This window comes from Homo sapiens, chromosome 18 (genome assembly GCF_000001405.40).
Source record: "Homo sapiens chromosome 18, GRCh38.p14 Primary Assembly".
NCBI lineage: Eukaryota > Metazoa > Chordata > Mammalia > Primates > Hominidae > Homo > Homo sapiens.
This window is the reverse complement of record NC_000018.10, coordinates 53340798-53361388: the sequence shown is the minus strand read 5'-3', so window position 1 is coordinate 53361388 and position 20591 is coordinate 53340798. Positions and strand designations below refer to the sequence as shown.

At 34.3% G+C, this 20591-nt stretch overlaps 1 protein-coding gene across 5 annotated transcripts in view; it reads right to left on the bottom strand.

Moving 5' to 3' along the window:
- Positions 1-20591, bottom strand: part of DCC (DCC netrin 1 receptor) — a 1195703-nt gene that overhangs the window by 174511 nt on the left and 1000601 nt on the right. The window lies entirely within an intron of this gene.

Here is a 20591-nt window from a genome sequence, read left to right as displayed (position 1 = left end):
GGTTCAGAAATTAAAAAACAATGTTTAGGAGATTGGGGGGGAAAGTCCAACAACTACGGTTTTGTATTGATTTTCTAGAGCTGCCATAACAAATACACAAACTTAAACAACAAAAATCGTTTCTTCACAGTTCTGAAGTCCAAACGTCCAAAACTGAGGTGTCAGCAGGGCCGCACGGTCCCTGAAGGCCTATGAGAGGATCCTTTTTTGCCTTTTCTGGATCCTAATTCCTTGTCACTGTATCATTCCCATCTCTGTGTCTGTGTTCACATGACCTTCTCCTCTTGTATCTCTCCACCATGTGCCTCTTATATGGACACATCATGGGATTTAGGGCCCACCTGATTAATAAGGATGATCTCATCTAGACTTCCTTAACTTATTGACATCTGCTAAGACCCCTTTTCCATCTAAGGTCACAGTCACAGGTTCTGGAGGTTAGAACATGCACATACCGTCTTAGAGGCTCCCCTTCAAACCAGTACACCTTTTAAAGAAGCATCTCAGAAATAAAAAATTTCTAAAATGTCACTTCTCTGCTAATTATGAAGGAGGCTATGTTGACTTTCCCCTAAATGCTTGTAGAAGAAAATGATCCCTTATGTCATAACACTATGACTTTTCAGTAATATTCTATGCTATCGGCACAAAGATTTAACCTGTCCTAATGAAAGACATGACAAATGACATAATGACGTGTAAGGGTGTAAAGGCCTGCTTTATTGTAGTTCTGTTTGCACTTCTCATTTATACAAGTTAATTTACAATGGAGCTTTAGACATACAAGCTTCTATTTTTTAAATGATTTATAGCATGCTATTTATGAACTGTATGGCCACTTTTTTTTCTCATTTCAATGAGACAGTAAATGCCTAGTTTAGGGAAATGTCATTCCTATTGAATGAACAAAATTTGAGACAACATATAATATTTCTAAGTATGATTAAAAGACTTTTCTAAGAATTGGGCTGTATATACCCACTCACCTCTCTCAAATGATTATGCTAACTAAATAAAATATGTAAATAACTCACATATGAATAATCTATCTGATTAACTGATAATGTTTCAGAATAGACATTGCTAGAAGTAATCAACTCTATTCTATTGCTGTCTTTAACTTGCCAAATATATCTGTACCAGTCACATGACTAGTATATATAAGATATACAGTATCTTATTTTCCACATTTGTCTAACAAAGTACTGATTAAAACACACAAACACACAATACCTAATAAACAAAAAATTCTTACAGAAACTATCTTATAAAGTGATTTGCCACTTTTAAAGGTTAATTTCTTTAAATTATGAACTATATAAATATTAATTATATATAAATCTTAACTATCTGGCCCAAATCTTGCTCTTCTCCCAGCACCCTCAAAACAATTTAAATGCCCGGACATGACTAGTCCTAAGAAGGGAACAGGATTCATATCATTCTGAGCCACACAGATACAGGAAATGATATTATGCAGAAGAAGATGGGATACAAGCCTCGAAGATGGATAAGTCAGGGGTCACTGAAATGGGTACTGAGTCAGGGTTCTCCAAAGTAAGAGCATCAGAAATTAGGCTCTGGATGTCATTATAAAACTAGAAGGGGCTTCTCCTTGAGGAATTCTGGATTTAAAGAAAGAGACCAAGAGGTAGGGCAGAACTTCCTAGGGCTAACTAGGATTAATTAAATAATAACAGATTAATCATCTTTCCTTTTCATGGCTCATTCTTTAGAGCAGACATTGTGAAGAGGGGAAGAGGCATTTAACAATAATTATTCACATTTTTTCAGAAAATAATGAGTAACTAATATCTCCTATTAATAAACTGCATCTTAGAAAGGCTTAGTCTATTCAAATACAACTACAATGTAGCTGCAGCTTCTCTTTTAACTCTGGATTCTTGTTTTACCAGGAGTTTTAACAGTGGAGAATATTTTTTTCTCATAAAAATAGATATGTGAAAAATGAGAAGAGAAGGCTAAAACAAACAAAAAAGCATAAGAAAGATAATAAAGGGTAGGTGACAGGTAAGTCTAACTAGCTTAATTAATGACTTGCACGCAAGTCCCCAGTATTTGTGATTCAGTACTGCAGCAAAATGGCTGTTAAATATACAGCATGGACTCTTGGAATAATTTGGTAAGAGAAAAATCCAAGAATATCATGGGTCACAATTTTTGAACCTCCAAAACCTGCACTCAAGTTATCTCTCTATTTATAACTCCTGCAACTCTCTTATATGAACTTGCATTCATGGTTCAATTAGTTTGTTCACTGAACCTTGAGCCTCTTTTGCTTTTCCTTGACTCTGCAGTCTTATACACAGTACATAACATATCGTCCCATGAGGATGAATCTTACTTTATCTTTAAGTCAAAATTCTCCACCCAACATTTCTAGGAAAAATCTTCTAACAACCTCATACCAAAGTAAACTTTCAAACTACTAATGCAATCACTGGTCTTATAGAAACTATGTGACCACACTTATTCTTTTCATGAAATAATCTTATATTTATTACATAGGTCTTTGGTAGCCTAGAATATGTTAGATAATATGTCTTATGGCTGGGTGTGGTGGCTCACGCCTGTAGTCCCATGACTTTGAGAGGCTGAGGTGGGCAGATCACGAGGTCAGGAGTTTGAGACCAGCCTGGCCAACATGGTGAAACCTCATCTTTACTAAAAATACAAAAATTTAGCCTGGTGTGGTGGCAGGCACCTGTAATCCCAGCTACTTGGGAGGCTGAGGCAGGAGAATCGGTTGAACCTGGAAGGCAGAGGTTGCAGTGAGCCGAGACCATGCCTGGGCAACAGAGCCAGACTCTGTCGCAAAAAAAAAAAAAAAAAAAAAAGAGAGAGAGAATATGTCTTACATTTCTTAGTATCCTCCACGTTCCTAAATATGGTTTCTTATGCTTAAAGTGACTCAATAAGCCATTTTATAAAATAATTTTGGTAAGAAATAATAAATCATTTGGTCTTTAAGCCTACTATCTATTACAAGAAATTTTTTTTGTAAGTAAACAACTGCCTGCCATATGGAAAATTTACTCATTTAGTGTTTTGATTAATGTCAACTAAATGATCAAGAACATTTGAAAAGAAAACTGTAACTCAGATAATAATGCATTATATTATACTGAATTCATCTACATTTATAAAATAAAAGCACCGAAACACACTAAACTGAATTTCAAAGCATTTATGAAAGCTAAAAAAACAAGATATATTTTTCTTTGGATTCATTAGATTCCATATTCTACTCACATTTAGAATATAGTAATTGGACAAACTATTGGCACACAGAAATAATAAACAACATAAATAAGAAGCATTTACAATCAAATTTGAGATAAAACTCCATTTTAGAGCCCACACATTAAAACTCTAGGAATAAAATTATATTCTCAGAAATTACTGTTATTAGCTTAAGAATAAGCAGGGATTCTCTGTGTGAATCGTGAAATTATAAAATAATATCAAGGTAAATGAATTTCCTTCTAGAATGGCTTATACAGCACACAATATGAATTTTCAATGAACTATTCTGATCCCGCAGTCTGAAATGCAGCTGAAGTCCGTGTTCACTATTGCTGCACTGTACATAAATGCTCTCAGTAAGATACTTTGGGAAAAAGCAGGGAATAAATCTACCCTCCTTTCTAATTTCATTTACCATTAAATGACTTCTTTCAGTGAGGTCTTTGTGATCAGGCTTTCTAAATTTTAGGTCAAACATCATTCTACATAATTCTTCTTAAACTGCTTCAAAAAATACAAAGCAGAATTTTGTTAACCAATACTTATGATGCACTTTGTTTCAAAATAATAAATGTTCTCTACATGGTACTTATTCATTTTTTATTCATGTATGTCAGCTATTCTTGAGTCGGCTAAAGTGCATTGATTTTTCCAATTTTAAATGTTTGCATTTCATAAACTTAAAACTTCTGTATTCCATGCATGAAGGGATTTTTTGATGGGGGGAGATGCTGAAGTTAACATTGTAATTTACATTGAATTCACTGAACTTAGAATGCACTCTGGGAGTTATAAAGGTTCATTTCTCCACAGGATAAAAGACCTATTTCTAAAAGCACTCAGGTTAAATTTACCCTCTAAAAATACAATATGACAGTTAGGATTCATTCTTGATGAGATTTGTGGCAGAAATCAGGAAATAGATATAATGCAGTTTGGCATTTTTGGTACCTTTAAAAAGCTAAAAGTTTTGGCATACTGAAATCATAAAATGATTGTTTAATCACTTATTAAAGAACTCCAACTTCTGGTCAAAATGGATTAATAGGGAGTGGATGTATCCCGCTTGCCTGGATCAACTTAAAAAGCAAACAGACAAAATATGTAAAACAGTAATTTTGAGACTTTGGATATGAAGAAGATCACTTCAGCGACTTCTAAGAGAAGAAAAATAAAGTGAGCACTTTGATTTCTTTATCTGATTATATGGAAAGTTTCCAGGCTGCAAAAGAGAAAAGAGCAACTCAGAAGGAGCCCAGCCTAGCAGTTTCCCTAAATTGAAGACACAAAGTTGAAAGTCTGATGTGACTTAAAGCAGCAAGAGTTTGATGGGGAAGAATACCACAGAGAACAGAAATTCTCAGGAGAGCTCTGGAGGTCTACAGATATTTTGTCCCTCTTAAGTCATCATCTGAGTACTTATCAGTGCATGTGTATGAGGACACTTCCCAAGGCTGAGGACAAAACCATTCAATAGTAACAAAGTTAAACATCTTTGGTGCTGAGTCAGGACTCCATCCGGCCAGATGGACAACCATGTAACTCATAGAAATTTGGGTACTCAGGTGGTATTGTCTCAGTAGTGGCACAAACTATCCCCAGTACTCTAGTAACATCTAATAGACTAAAAGCAAACCTAAAAGGTGTTGATGTATTTCAAAGTAACATAACTGCATGTTAGAACAAAATGCAAGAATATTTTAAAAACACGAACATCTCTAGCACCCAACAAAATAAAAACATAAAAACCAGAAAATACAACTCATAATGAAGAAAAAAACATAATAAATAGAAACAGACCTGGAAATGAGACAGATAAAATAATTTGTAGACATGAACAATGAAAGTGTTATTATGACTGTATTCTATATATTCAAGAAGGTAGAGGAGAGACTGAGTGGTACAGCATGTGCATAGCTCACACTGGAAATCCTAGCACTTTGGGAAGCTAAGGCAGCAGAATTGCTTGAGCCCAGGAATTTGAGGCTGCAGTGAGCCATGATCACACCACCGCACTCCAGCCTGGGTGACAGAGTGAGACCCTGTCTCAAAAAAATAAATAAGTGAATAAAATAAAATAAGGTATCTGTTTAATTGCAGTTCTGAGTTGAGAACAGTGATATTGGGAGAAAGAAAAACTATGTGAAGAAATAATAACTGAAAACTCCTAAATTTGATGAAGTATCTCAACAATTCCCAATCAGAAGAAGCATAATGAAAACTATACCAGTATATAAAAATAAAATTGTATAAAATCCATGACAAGGACATAATTCTTCAAAGCAGTGAGAAATAAAAATCATATTATGTGCAGAGGCAGTGGTACAAAAATAAGAACGAGTGCCAGGCAGGAGAAAGAAATAAAGGGTATTCAATTAGGAAAAGAGGAAGTCAAACTGTCCCTGTTCACAGATGACATGATTTTATAGTTAGAAAACCCCATTGTCTCAGCCCCAAATCTCCTTAAGCTGATAAGCAACTTCAGCAAAGTCTCAGGATACAAAATCAACGTGCAAAAATCGCGAGCATTCTTATACACTAATAACAGACAGAGAACCAAATCATGAGTGAACTCCCATTCACAATTGCTTCAAAGAGAATGAAATACCTAGGAATACAACTTACAAGGGATGTGAAGGACCTCTTCAAGGAGAACTACAAACCACTGCTCAGCAAAATAAAAGAGGACACAAACAAATGGAAGAACGTTCCATGCTCATGGATAGGAAGAATCAATATCCTGAAAATGGTCATACTGCCCAAGGTAATTTATAGATTCAATGCCATCTCCATCAAGCTACCAATGACTTTTTTCAAGAATTGGAAAAACCTACTTTAAGGTTCATATGGAACCAAAAAAGAGCCCGCATTGCCAAGTCAATCCTAAGCCAAAAGAACAAAGCTGGAAGCATCATGCTACCTGACTTCAAACTATACTACAAGCCTACAGTAACCAAAACAGCCTGGTACTGGTACCAAAACAGAGATATAGATCAATGGAACAGAACAGAGCCCTCAGAAATAATACCACACATCTACAACCATCTGATCTTAGACAAACCTGACAAAAACAAGAAATGGGGAAAGGATTCCCTATTTAATAAATGGTGCTGGGAAAACTGGCTAGCCATATGTAGAAAGCTGAAACCGGATCCCTTCCTTACACCTTATACAAAAATTAATTCAAGATGGATTAAAGACTTAAATATTAGACCTAAAACCATAAAAACCTAGAAGAAAACCTAGGCAATACCATTCAGGACATAGGCATGGGCAAGGACTTCATGTCTAAAACACCAAAAGTTTTAGTTAGAAAACCCCATTGGCAACAAAAGCCAAAATTGACAAATGGAATCTAATTAAACTAAAGAGCTTCTGCACAGCAAAAGAAACTACCATCAGAGTGAACAGGCAACCTACAGAATGGGAGAAAATTTTTGCAATCTACTCATCTGAAAAGGGCTAATATCCAGAATGTACAAAGAACTTAAATTTACAAGAAAAAAACAAAGAAGCCCATCAAAAAGTGGGCGAAGGATATGAACAGACACTTCTCAAAAGAAGACATTTATGCAGCCAACAGACACATGAAGAAATGCTCATCATCACTGGCCATCAGAGAAATGCAAATCAAAACCACAATGAGATACCATCTCACACCAGTTAGAATGGCGAGCATTAAAAAGTCAGGAAACAACAGATGCTGGAGAGGATGTGGAGAAATAGGAACACTTTTACACTGTTGGTGGGACTGTAAATGAGTTCAACCATTGTGGAAGACAGTGTGGCGATTCCTCAGGGATCTAGAACTAGAAATACCATTTGACTCAGCCATCCCATTACTGGGTATATACCCAAAGGATTATAAAGCATGCTGCTATAAAGACACATGCACACGTATGTTTATTATGGCACTATTCACAATAGCAAAGACTTGGAACCAACCCAAATGTCCATCAATGATAGAATGGATTAAGAAAATGTGGCACATATACACCATGGGATACTATGCAGCCATAAAAAAGGGTGAGTTCATGTCCTTTGTAGGGACATGGATGAAACTGGAAACCATCATTCTCAGCAAACTATCGCAAGGACAGAAAACCAAACACCGCATGTTCTCACTCATAGGTGGGAATTGAACAACGAGAACACTTGGACACAGGAAGGGGAACATCACACACCGGGGCCTGTCGTGAGGTCGGGGGAGGGATAGCATTAGGAGAGATACGTAATGTAAATGACAAGTTAATGGGTGCAGCACACCAACATGGCACATGTATACATATGTAACAAACCTGCACGTTGTGCACATGTACCCTAGAACTTAAAGTATAATAAAAATAAAAAAAAAGAACAAGTGCAATAGTTTTGTTGGAAACAAGGTAATATATGAAATAATGGTGGAACATCCTTAAAAATACAGAAAGAAAATAATTTATCAACCTAGAATTCTATGACCAGTGAAAATAAGTTTTAATAGCAAACTTAAAACTTTTTCACACATAACAAAGATGGAAAATTAATCACCAGCACAATGATGTTACAAGAAATATTTAACATTAAAGAAGTCCTTCAAGATGTAAAAAAAAATGACACCAGTTAAATATCTAAAATAACAAGAAGGACTGAAGAGCACCAAAATTGCTAACTGTGTAGTTAGACAATACGTTATTTTTTTAACCTTTAAAGGATATTTATTTATCTATTTTTGTCTTAGCTCAGGTTTTAATGAAATAGCTTTAGCATTTTCTTGTTGAATATAACGTTGGTGGGTTTTATAGTTTTTTTAAAAAAATAGAATTGGCTCCTATATTTTATCAAATACCTTTTTTTTTTTTTCCTCTCAAGTGGAGTTTCACTCTTGTTGCCCATGCTGGAGTGCAATGGCGTGATCTCGGCTTACTGCAACCTCTGCCTCTGGGTTCAAGTGATTCCTGCCTCAGCCTCCTGAGTAGCTGAGATTACAGGCATGTGTCACCACATCTGGCTAATTTTGTATTTTTAGTAGAAACGAGATTTCTCCATGTTGGTCAGGCCAGTCTCGAACTCACATATTATTTTCTCCACTCTAATAAAACTCTTTCAAACCACCCCACTTTAAATGTAATAACAACCATGTATTATTAAGTGGTATAGTATTTACTTAAGGTCAATAATGGTAAGGTCAAGATATATAATATAAATTTTAAAGCAACCACTGAAGAAGCAAAACAGTTATAGCTAATGAGTCCAGAAAGAGTGTAAGATGAATGATTAAAAATATTAAATAAAAATGCAGAAACTTAGAAAAAAATTCACACACACATACACATATACAAAGGTGGGACAACAGATGAAATACATAAAACATGAATAGCAGGATAGCAGTTATAAACTAAACCAGATCTATATTCACATTAAATGTAAATGGTCTAAACACTTTGATTAAAAGTCAGAGATTGACAGATTGGATATGATGAAAACTCCAAGTGTGTGCTGCCAACAAAAAACCCACTGTAATTATAAAAACACACATAGTTTTAAAGTAAAATAATGAATATATGTACCCATTATAGCATGATATGTATAATGCTAACAAAAGCCAAAAATGTATAGTCTGGAGTGGATGCACTAACATCAAAATAGATTTCAGAGTAAACAATAGTATCACTAGTGAAAAGGGATAGTTCATAAATGATAAAGTATTCATCAACAAGACATAACAATCCTAAATAATTATGCATCTGATAGAATTAAAAGGAAAAACACACAAATCAATTGTTTAATAAAGGAAAATGCCCAGATACAGCATTTGCTTTTCTGTCTCTTTCCTCCAAGTTGGCTATGAATCCAGCTCACAGAACAAATAATAAATACCTCTATGATTAAACTCTGGCACTTGTACTGAATCTATCACTTGTATTTAATCAGAAACTTTAGGCTGTGTCCTATGTAGCTGGATTATATTATTTTGTTGGTGAATTGAAGATATTTAATTTTGCTAAAATACCTTGTTTTTCCCTATAGAAAGAGGGATTTTCCTGCAATAGAGTGCTCTATCTGCAAGTTCTGATCAGATTTTGATTTGATACCAGGCTCCTTTCTTTATACTAATGAGTCAAGTCTTTACTGTTTATTACAATATTTATCTGATGGTGTTAAAGTAACATTTAACTTTGAAAAAATTTAACAAAATAGCTTGGGCTTTTCCTATTTACTTAGTTATTTCTCTGTCTTACCTAATTTTTAAAATTGGGATAATACCTGACATAGTGAGGGGGATGAAGAAATAGATTTGTTATTTCTGAAGTGCTTAGAAGAAACACAGCAAGTTGCTGTCTGTAAACACTGACGTGAGGAATTAAGAATGAGATCTAAGCTATTCTGACTCAGATAAAACATTTTCTTGAAAAACAGAGATGATGAAGAAAATTATTTTTATTCTTTGAATGCTTGAATTTAATGTTGGTAGAATGAATGACCTACATAATACTTCACCGGTTTGTTTTACAAATAACAACTCAGATTATAAAATACAAAATAAAATGTGAAAGTGTTATTTTAACAAAAGGAAAATGATGAAGACACCTCTATTTGGAGATTTCCAATGACACATATATTCCAATTATATATATATATATATACACACTATATATATATATATATATATATACACACTGTGTATATATATATATACACTGTATATATATATACACAGTGTGTATATATATATATATACACTGTATATATATATACTGTATATATATATACAGTATATATATATACTGTGTATATATATATACACTGTATATATATATACAGTGTATATATATATATATATATATATACTGTACTCAATGAGAAGATCTTTTCTTCTCCTGTTCAATGCTAATATACAATACTAGTATCTTTTGTAATGGAGTTTTTCCAAATAGCTTTAGAAAATTCACCAGGTATAAGACAATTCCTGTGCTTTGGACCTCAGGGAGTAGAAAGTAAGAAAACAGTTACAAATAGAATAGTATGTATTATTAATGAATCACCCTGTGGCTATCCTTAAAGACTTCTTGAAAACAGCTATAGGTTTAGAAGACACTCATCTCAAAAAAAAATCATAAAAGAGAAAATCCATTCTTCCTGATATACTCTGAGTAATGATCTCATGGAGTGACCTTTTCTTATCCCCGCTCACTTCTCTCTGAGCAAGTAGTACTCATGTTGAATGAATGTAATTCTGTCAGTCAAGATTTTCTAATCAGAATATTATAGTTAAAACTAGGAATTTCTGTTTTTGTCTTTCACATCAAACTGAGCATCACTGTGTGGTTTAGATTTTTAAATTAATACTAATTAAATTTTCATATTATTGCAATGACCACAATATAAAGTTTGACATTTACAGCTCTTGAATTACCAACTTTCCAACTTCTAGTGACTTTTTTCAAAATCTGTTAACCCTCTGATACCATGATACAGGGACTAAAAGCATCTTTTGTTTTCTATTTTTACTGAGCTATTACAAAGCCAGAGCTCAAAAAACTTTTCCAGTATTAAACATTATGGAGAGGCAAAAAATATGGATCTACACTCAGATTAAGAGTTCCACTTAATTCCATATTTATTTACTTTTTTGTATGCTTAGCTTATGTTTTTAAATTGCTAGTCTACTAAGACAATGTCTTCTAGTAAGCATCACTGAAAGGATGATAAGAATAAAAGGAAATTACAATTGAGTATTCATGGAAATAACCTATGTTATTTATGTACTATGGTTAAAATATTTCAGGAGTAACAGATGTAAAACCCTAAAAGTTTTAATTGTATAGTCTTCCTTTCTATGGCAATGCTAAATTCTAAGAACTTAATTCCCGATACATCTTTGTTAATCCACATCAATGGCGGTGAACGAGTTCGATTCATTTTCCTTAAGACATGATAGTTTTACATGGACTAATTAGAATTGGAAGAACATAAATCCTCACAGGAATATTTGCCATGTTTGTTTAATATCAGTTGGAAAAACAATGGCTGTGTCTGTATATTTATATATAATCTGTTTTTTTTCTGATTCTCATGAATTGTAAATGTATTTTATGTTACTTTTTATCTTTTCCATTGTTTAAGAAGTTGAACACTATACTTTATAAAATGATTATTTAACTGCCTAAGCCAAATTCAGTTTTTTAAAATTACTAGTCAGAAGTTCAACTTTAGTGAGAAGATTGCTTTAAAATTCTATTTTTGCAACTGACATGGTTTGGCTGTGTCCCCGCCCAAATCTCATCTTGACTTGTAACTCCCACAATTCCCACGTCATGGGAGGAACCTGGTTTGTGGTGATTGAATTAAGGGGGCAGGACTTTCCTGCATTGCTCTCGTGATAGTGAATGAGTCTCATGAGATTTGATGGTTTTAAAAAAGGGAGTTTCTATGCACAAGCTCTCTTTTGGCCTGCTGCCAGTCATGTAGGTTGTGATTTGCTCTTCCTTGCCTTCAGCTATGATTGTGAGGTTTCCCCAGCCACATGGAACTGTAAGTCCAATTAAACCCCTTTCTTTTGTAAATTGCCCAGTCTTGGGTATGTCTTACAAGCAGTGTGAAAATAGACTAACATAGTAAATTGGTACCAGGAGTTGGAGGTTGCTGAAAAGATACCTGAAAATGTGGGAAGTGACTTCGGAACTGGGTAACAGGCAGAGGTTGAAACAGTGTGGAGGGCTCAGAAGAAGATAGGACAATGTGGAAACGTTTGGAACTTCCTAGAGACTTGTTGAATGGCTTTGCCCAAAAGGCTGATAGCGATATGAACAATAAAGTCCAGGCTGAGGTGGTCTCAGATGGAAATGAGGAACTTGTTGGGAACTGGAGCAAAGGTGACTCTTGTTATATTTTGGCAAAGAGACTGGTGGCATCTGCCCCTGCCCTAGAGATCTGTGGAACTTTCAACTTGAGGGAGATGATTTGGGGTATCTAGCGGAATAAATTTCTCAGCAGCAAAGCATTCAAGAGGTGACTTTGGTGCCATTAAAGGCATCCAGTTTTATAAGGGAACCAAAGCATAAAAGTTTGCAAAATTTGCAGCCAGACAATGTGATAGCAAAGAAAATCCGATTTTTCTGAGGAGAAATTCAAACCAGCTGCAGAAAGTTGCATAAGTAACAAGGAGCCAAATATTAATCACCAACACAATGGAGAAAATGTCTCCAGGGCTGGTCAGAGGTCTTCAGTGCAGCCCCTCCCATGACAGGCCTGGATGCCTCAGAGGAAAAAGTGGTTCTGTGGGCTGGGCCCAGGGTCCCTGTGCTGTGTACAGCCTAGGGACTTGGTGCCTTGTGTTCCAGCCACTCCTGCCATGACTGAAAGGTGCCAATGTAGAGATAGGGCCATGGTTTCAGTGGGTGTAAGCCTCAAGTCTTGGCAGCTTCCATGTAGTGTTGAGCCTGCCAGTGCACAGAAGTCAAGAATTGGGGTTTGGGAACCTGGATGTCCAGGCAGAAGTTTCTGGCAGTGGAGAACCTCTGCTAGGGCAGTGCAGAAGGAAAATGTGGGATCAGAGCCCCCATACAGAGTCCCTACTGGGGCACTGCCTAGTGGAGCTATCAGAAGAGGGCCACTGTCCTCCAGACCCCAGAATGCTAGATCCACTGACAGCTTGTAGTGTGCATTTGGAAAAGCCACAGACACTCAATGCCAGCCTATAAAAGCAGCCAGGAGGGAGGCTGTGCCCTGCAAAACCACAGGAGTGGAGCTTCCCAAGAAGATGGGAACCCACGTCTTGCATCAGTGTGACCTGGATATGAGACATGGAGTCAAAGGAGATCATTTTGGAGCTTTAAGATTTGACTGTCCCTCTGGACTTTGGACTTTCATGGGGCCTATAGCCCTTTGTTTTGGCCAATTTCTCCCATTTGGAATGGCTGTATTTACCCGATGTCTGTCCCTGCATTGTATCTAGGAAATAATTAACTTGGTTTTGATTTTACAGGATCATAGGCGAAAGGGACTTCCTTCGTGTCAGATGAGACATTGGACTGTGGACTTTTGAGTTAATGCTGAAATAAGACTTTGGGGGACTGCTGGGAAGGCATGTTTGGTTTTGAAATGTGAGGACATATGATTTGGGAGGGGCCAGGGGCAGAATGATATGGTTTCGCTGTGTCCCCACCCAAATCTCATCTTGAATTGTAACTCCAACAATTCTCACATGTTGTAGGAGGAATCTAGTGGGAGGTGGCTGAATTATAGGAACAGGTCTTTCCTGCACTGTTCTTATGATAGTGAATGAGCCTCATGAGATCTCATGGTTTTTTAAAGGGGCGTTTCTCTGCACAAGCTCTCTTTTTGCCTGTTGCCCTCTATGTAAGATGTGACTTGCTTCTCCTTGCCTTCTGCCATAATTGTGATGCTTCCCCAGCCACATGGAACTGTAAGTCCAATTAAACCTCTTTCTTTTGTAAATTGCACAGTCTCAAGTATGTCTTTATTAGCAGCATGAAAACAGACTAATATAGCAACTAAGTTATATATTTCAGAGTCATTTTTAGTTCCTCTAACACATGTTGTTAGTAAATAAGTGCGATAGTGCCAAATGTAATTCAGATGTTAAATACACTGCCCAGGAAGTCATCTTATTTTTATCAAGAATGTTCACAATAACAGCTGCCCAAAAATATTTAAAATGGGACTGTGAGTTTCCAATTATTCTCTGATGGTGTAAGCTCTTTTTGGCTCATCCATCTCACTGATAACAGCCACTGGCTCTAAACAAGATACAAAACAATCCCCCCAAAAACCAAAATCCCAACTATATGAGGTCTGAGTATTTTACAAAACTAGGCGGATTTTGGAATTAAGTAAGATCTTGATGAAGCGACCAGCGTTGGAATTAGTTTTCTGTTTTGCTCCAAGAAAATTTTGCAGTATGGAAAGCACCCCAGTACTGTCAGCTGTCACTCCAGTAGAAACCCTCACCACTTTGTGCCAGAAGAATCACTGAAAGTAGTTTCAGGGGATGAGGGAAACAGTTTACAAAAAGTATACAAAAAGGAGTTCTGGAGATAGAGATGTTCTGATTCTGAGTTAAAACTTGCCTAAGTCTCAGCCTAAACACTAACAGCAGAGCAAAGCCTTGGGAAACTTAACCAAGATTTTAATTGCTGTGAAGAGAAAGCAAGATAGATCTCACAATCTGAATCTAACTGTTGATTGCCTTCTAAAACCAATATATCAAAAAATTTTCAAGGATTGTAATAAAACTCAGATTCTACAACTTAACATTGACAATGCCTAACATATAGTCTAAAATTATACAACATACCAAAAAAATGGTAAATATAGTCCATTCTCAAGTGAAAAAGCAAATAGATGCCCAACCCAAATGGTGCAGATGTTGAAATTATCAGAGAAACATGCTAAAGTAACTTTTATAACTATGCTCTCAGAGGTAAAGTATACTTGCAAGGAGTATAGAAAATCTCAACAGAGTAGTAGAAAATGTAGAAAAAAATGGAGATTGTAATATTAAAAAGAGGACAATGTTTTAAAATATAATGACCTTTACCATATGAGCCTAACAATGAGATAGAGGTAATGAAGGAATTTATCAGTAAGCATGATAATAGAACAGGATAAATCACTCAATATCAAGAAAAGAGTAAAAAGGTTAAAAAACGAAAGAAAACATCACAGTTGTGAGAATGTATAAGATAAAATTCAAATGTCTAAAATACATATAATTATAGTCTCAGAGGGAATGTGGTGAATAGTGGGGAAAAATATTTGAAGACAAAATGACCAAAATTGGTGAAATCATAAATTTACAGATTTAATAAGCATAAAACACACAGGCAAGATATAGTAAAAAATGACTATGCCTCTATATAATATAATCTAGCTGCTGGAAATCAAATATTTTAAAGAAGTCTTAAAAGCACCCAGCAAAAAAATAAAAAAGTATATATTACTACAGGTTAACAACATTTTGAATGTCATGTTGACACATGCCTGTTTTCCTAGCTACTTAGGAGGCTGAGGCAGCAGGATTACTTGAGCCTGGGAGGTCAAGGCTGCAGTGAGCCATGAGAGCTCCACTGTACTCCAACCTGGCCAACAGAACCACATGTCATCTCAGGAAAAAATAATAATAATAATAAAACTTAAAACAAAAAAATTCAAATAATCCAAAAGAAGTCAGGAAAGGGAAAACAGGGACACAAAAAAGCAATCTGACAAACAGTAAACAAAAATAAAATTCAACCATATGTATAATTACATTAAATTGCAATGGTCTAAAACTCTAATGGTTTTTCATCAAAAACCATAGAGTCAAGAATACAGAGAGACAACAACTTGAAAGAACTGGAGGAAAGAAAAAAAAAATCTGTCAATGCGGAATTCTATATCCAGTGAAAATATCCTTCAGAAAAAAAAAGTAGAATTAAGATATTTTCAGATAAAGCAAAACGAAGAAAAGTTGTTGCCACCTGACTGAACTACAAAGAAATGGTAAAGGAAGATTTTCAATCTAAAGGGAAATAACATTGGATAAGAACTTCATCTTCAGGTACAAATGAAAAGCATAAGAAATGTCATATATCTGGGTAAATAGAAAACATCATAGTTTCCCCTTATGTCTTAAAAAAAATCATGACTGCATAATACAATAAATATATAAGACTGTCTAATGGGATTTTCAATGCATGTACATGTAATACATATGACAATTACAACAAAAGGAATAGTCCATATGATAAAGAGACCTGTGCAGTTGCAGGTTTCTATGTTTTATATGATGTGCTACAATGTTAGCCTAAATAAAGTGGGAAAGATTAAATACATATATGGTATCTCCTAGAGCAATCACTAAGAGCAGGAATCAGTAAATTATAGTTGAGGGGCCACTGTTTTTGTATAGACCATGAGTTAATAATGGTTTTTATATATTTAAATAGTTGCTAAAATTAAAAAAGACAGAATTTTATAACATATAAAAGTTTATAATATATAAAAATTATATTAAATTATGGATTCTTGGGTCCACAAATAAAGTTTTATTAGGACACAGCTATGTTTATTTGTGTATGTATTGTCTTTGGCTGCTTTCATGCTCTAATAGCAGAGTTGAGGAGTGGTGACAGAGACTATTATATGGTCTGTGAAGCCTAAAGTATTTAGTCTCTGGTCCATTATAGAAAAAGTCAGCTGATCTCTTATAAGACATATTTCTTTTCTTTTCTTTCCTTTTTTTTTTTTTTCCAAGACAGAGTCTTGCTCTGTCACCCAGGCTGGAGTGCAAAGGCAAGATCTTGGCTCACTGCAACCTCACTGCAATATGCAATATAATCTTACTGCAATATGCAATATCAGACATATTGCTAAAGTGCTATTAATAACTCAAATTTAGGCTGGGTGTGGTGGTTCATACCTGCAGTCCCAGCACTTGAGAGGCTGAGGTGGATGGATCATGACATCAGGAGTTCAAGACCAGCATGGACAAGATTGTGCAACCCCGTCTCCACTAAAAATACAAAAATTAGCCAGGCACGATGGCGCACGCTTGTAATCCCAGCTACTTGGGAAGCTGAGGCAGGAGATTGCTTGAACCTGGGAGGCAGAGGTAGAAGTGAGCCAAGATCACACCACTGCACTCCAGCCTGGGCAACAAAGTGAGACTGTGGCTCAAAAAAAAAAAAAAAAAAAAGAAAAACGAAAAGAAAGAAAAGAAAACCAATAATAACAAGATAACTAGGAAAATCCCAAAATTTGAAAATTAAGTAACACCTTGCTAAATAACTTAGGGAGAATAACACATCACAGGAAAATTAGGAAATGCTTTGAACTAAATGGTAATAAAAATACAACATATCAAAATTTGTGGAATGCAAGTAAAATGATACCTAGAGGAACAACAATGGATGTATACATTATAAAGTTCATATGTCAATAAATTAGAAATAGAAGAGAAGACCAGAACTAAAATAAGTATCAGGAGGGAAGTAGTCAAGATAACAGTAGAAATGAAAGAAATAAAATAGATAGATAATAGAAAAGTTAGTAATGTCAAAGGCTCTTTCTTTGACAAGATCAACAAAATTAGTAAATCTCTGTCTAGATATCACAAAAAAAAGACAGGAACAAGAAAAGACCAATATGAGAAATGAAAAATCAGTTAATAACCATAGATAACAGATAAAGAAAACATTATGAATAACTGTGCCAACAAGAGACAAAATGAAATGGATGGATTTTATTAAAAATTTAACTTAGCAAAATCAATACAAGAAAGTTTGCAAATCAGACCTATATCTGTATAAAAAATTAAATCTATTATCAAAGCCTTCCTATAAAAAAAATCTCAGGTCCAGATGATTTCATTAGTGAAATCTATAAAATACTTAAGAAATAAATAAAATCCATTTTACACAAATTTTCTGTAACAGAAGGGGAGTAAATACTATCCAGCTCATTTTATGAGCCAATCTAACTGGAGTAAAAGAGAAACAGTATATAGACACTATAGGAAAAGAAAATTGTAGACAAATATATAACCTACTGAATATAGGCACAAAAAATCCTTAATAAGCATTAACAAATCAAATTAAACAACATAAGAAAAGGATAATACATGATGGCCACACAGGATTTATATAGGAAATTCAAGGTTGGTTACCCTTCAAAAATCAATCAATGTAATTCACCGTATTTTAAAAAAAGAAAAAAAAAGTTCATTTCAAAAGATAGAAAGTTATCTAATAAAATTCAACAAATATTCATGACCAGAATTTCTAGAAAACTAGAAAGAGTATAGCATTTCTTTAATCTCACAAAAGGCTTAAAGAGACCAGAGGTAATAACCTATTTCATGGTAAAGACTAAATTTTTTTCTCCTAAGATCAGACACAAAGGAAAGATACCTGCTTTCAGCACTTTTATCCAGTATTTTACTACAGATCCTAATCACTGAAATAAGGCAACAGAAAGAAATAAAAGGGACAGAGATCAGAAACTAAATATAAAACTTTCTGTTCACATAGATATGTTTGATTAAACAGAAAATTTTAGATAATCTAAAAAACTAATGGAATATATAGGTAAATTTAGCAGATATTAGGATACAAGGTTAGCATTAAAAAATCTCTTGTATTCTACACATTTATAAATACCACAATACATCTATATATACATTATATAATACATCTATAAATCCACTATAGTAAAAATTTATTTAAAATAAATTTTAAAAACAGTTCTATTTAAAATAATTCAAATATATATAATATACATATGTATATATATTTAGGAATATTCAAATATATATGCATAATTTAAACAGTCCTAAATATATGTTCATATATTCAAATATATATATCCAAATATATATGTATTTATATCCATATATATATATATATATTTGGGTATTTCTAATATATGTATATTCCTACATATACATATGTATTTAGGAATAAGTTTAACATAAACATTGAAGACCTTTACATTTGAAACTATAAAATATTACTGAGATAAATTAGAGAAATTATAAAGATATACTTTATTAAACAAATATTATACCTCAATAATGCTCTTTTAAAAATGCCAAAAAGTACACTTTTAATGTACACAATGTACTGTATATAAATAATATCTGAATAAAGATATAAAGATAGATAAATTGATAGATAAATAGATCAATTGGTAGGTAGATAGTGAGTTTTAAAAGTGGTTTGGTTTCAAATTAATTTTGGGTCTATATCATACTTCAAGTCTGGCACTAGGGCTCTTGAACTAAAAGGAGTAAAATGTCAATAGATTAATTATAAATATTTAATAGTCATTGATTAATGAAGCTCTATGCCTATAGCAGGCAAGTTGTTTGTTTGCTTTTAATTAGGTAATATTAGATATTACTCAAAATGTTCTTGTATTTCCAGTCCTGAAGCTGATCACAGTGTCTGGTGTCTAAACTGCAAATAAAATGCTGTTTAGAAGTCTTGCTCTCTCATGAAATAGATGAAGGGGTTTATTAGTCAATTATAAAACAAATAGCTTTTTTATAGTTTAATATACAACCATGATACTTGAAGTTATGGCTGACCCTATGCTTAAATGAATTAAACTTACTTTAATTCACTTTTAGTTGTATAACTGTCATACAGTCCTTAAAACATAAAATTTCATTTTCTTTATTATGTATATGTAATGACTAGAGAGCTTTGCCTTCCAAAAACTTTAAAAATTAAAAAAAGTTATAAATACCTTCTCAAAAAGTTACTATGGAAACTGATGTGTTGATTTTAATGCTCAATAGAATAAATAAAACAATTGGTGATTTATTTGCAGCATGAACGTGGACTTGAATAAATCCTTATCTTTATAAAGATTAGAGCTTAGGGTATGTCTCTCACACACACTTTGGCTAAATAGTGAAAACACATATTGGAAAAATAGCAGTTCATTTGCATAACCATGAGGATATTTAATGAACAACAACATGCTAATTACTGTATTTCATATTAACACATGAGACTATGTTAAAAGAGTATCAACTAGTAGAACTTACATACCTATCTATGTGTGTATGTAATTACTCTTTCCAGGTAAGTTGTAGAGTGCAAACTCATAATTATTACTGAGACAGGTTCATATCCCAATTTACCTTTAAAAATATTCCTAGCTCTTTAGAATATATTTTCCAGAGTTTTCTGTTTTTCTTGTTAAGCATTTGGGGAGATTTGCCAACGTTAATCTCCCAAATGCGTCAACTTGACTAAATTTGGAGACCTCTGGCAAGTTTTTTTTGGTAACGAAGAGAATCATTAGAAAAAGGATAGGGTCAACAATGCAGTTTCCCTCCTGACTTCCTTCTGAGTTTGCAGCACATTCTCATTGCCTGGGAGCCATTTACTGCCATGGGCACCTCCCTCCCTCTGTCTGTTGAGTGGCATCAAGATGAACTGTCAAAGATGGTGGATGCTGAATAATGGATAAGTGAGAGTCCCTTGACATAGGCTTGATAGCCATAAAATATGAGTTTTGTGATTGCCTTTACATTCAAACTCAGGAACTGATGGAAAGAATATTATTTCTAAACGCCAAGCTAAATAAATTGTGGAGATTTCCAGTAGGTGTTTCTCTTATTAGTGTTTGAAGCAATTATAGAGAGAATGGGTCAGTGCAATTTTCTTCCTTTACTGAGAAAATCTTTTCTTGCTACTGCATTTTAGCTATTCAAATTCAAATCAGGCTTCTCATCACAAATGTTCTGTTTGTGAGAGACACTGCAAATAAGTAGCAGATCCCCCCACCCCCTACACCCTGCCTGCCCAATCAAGCTGCATTTCCAGTGG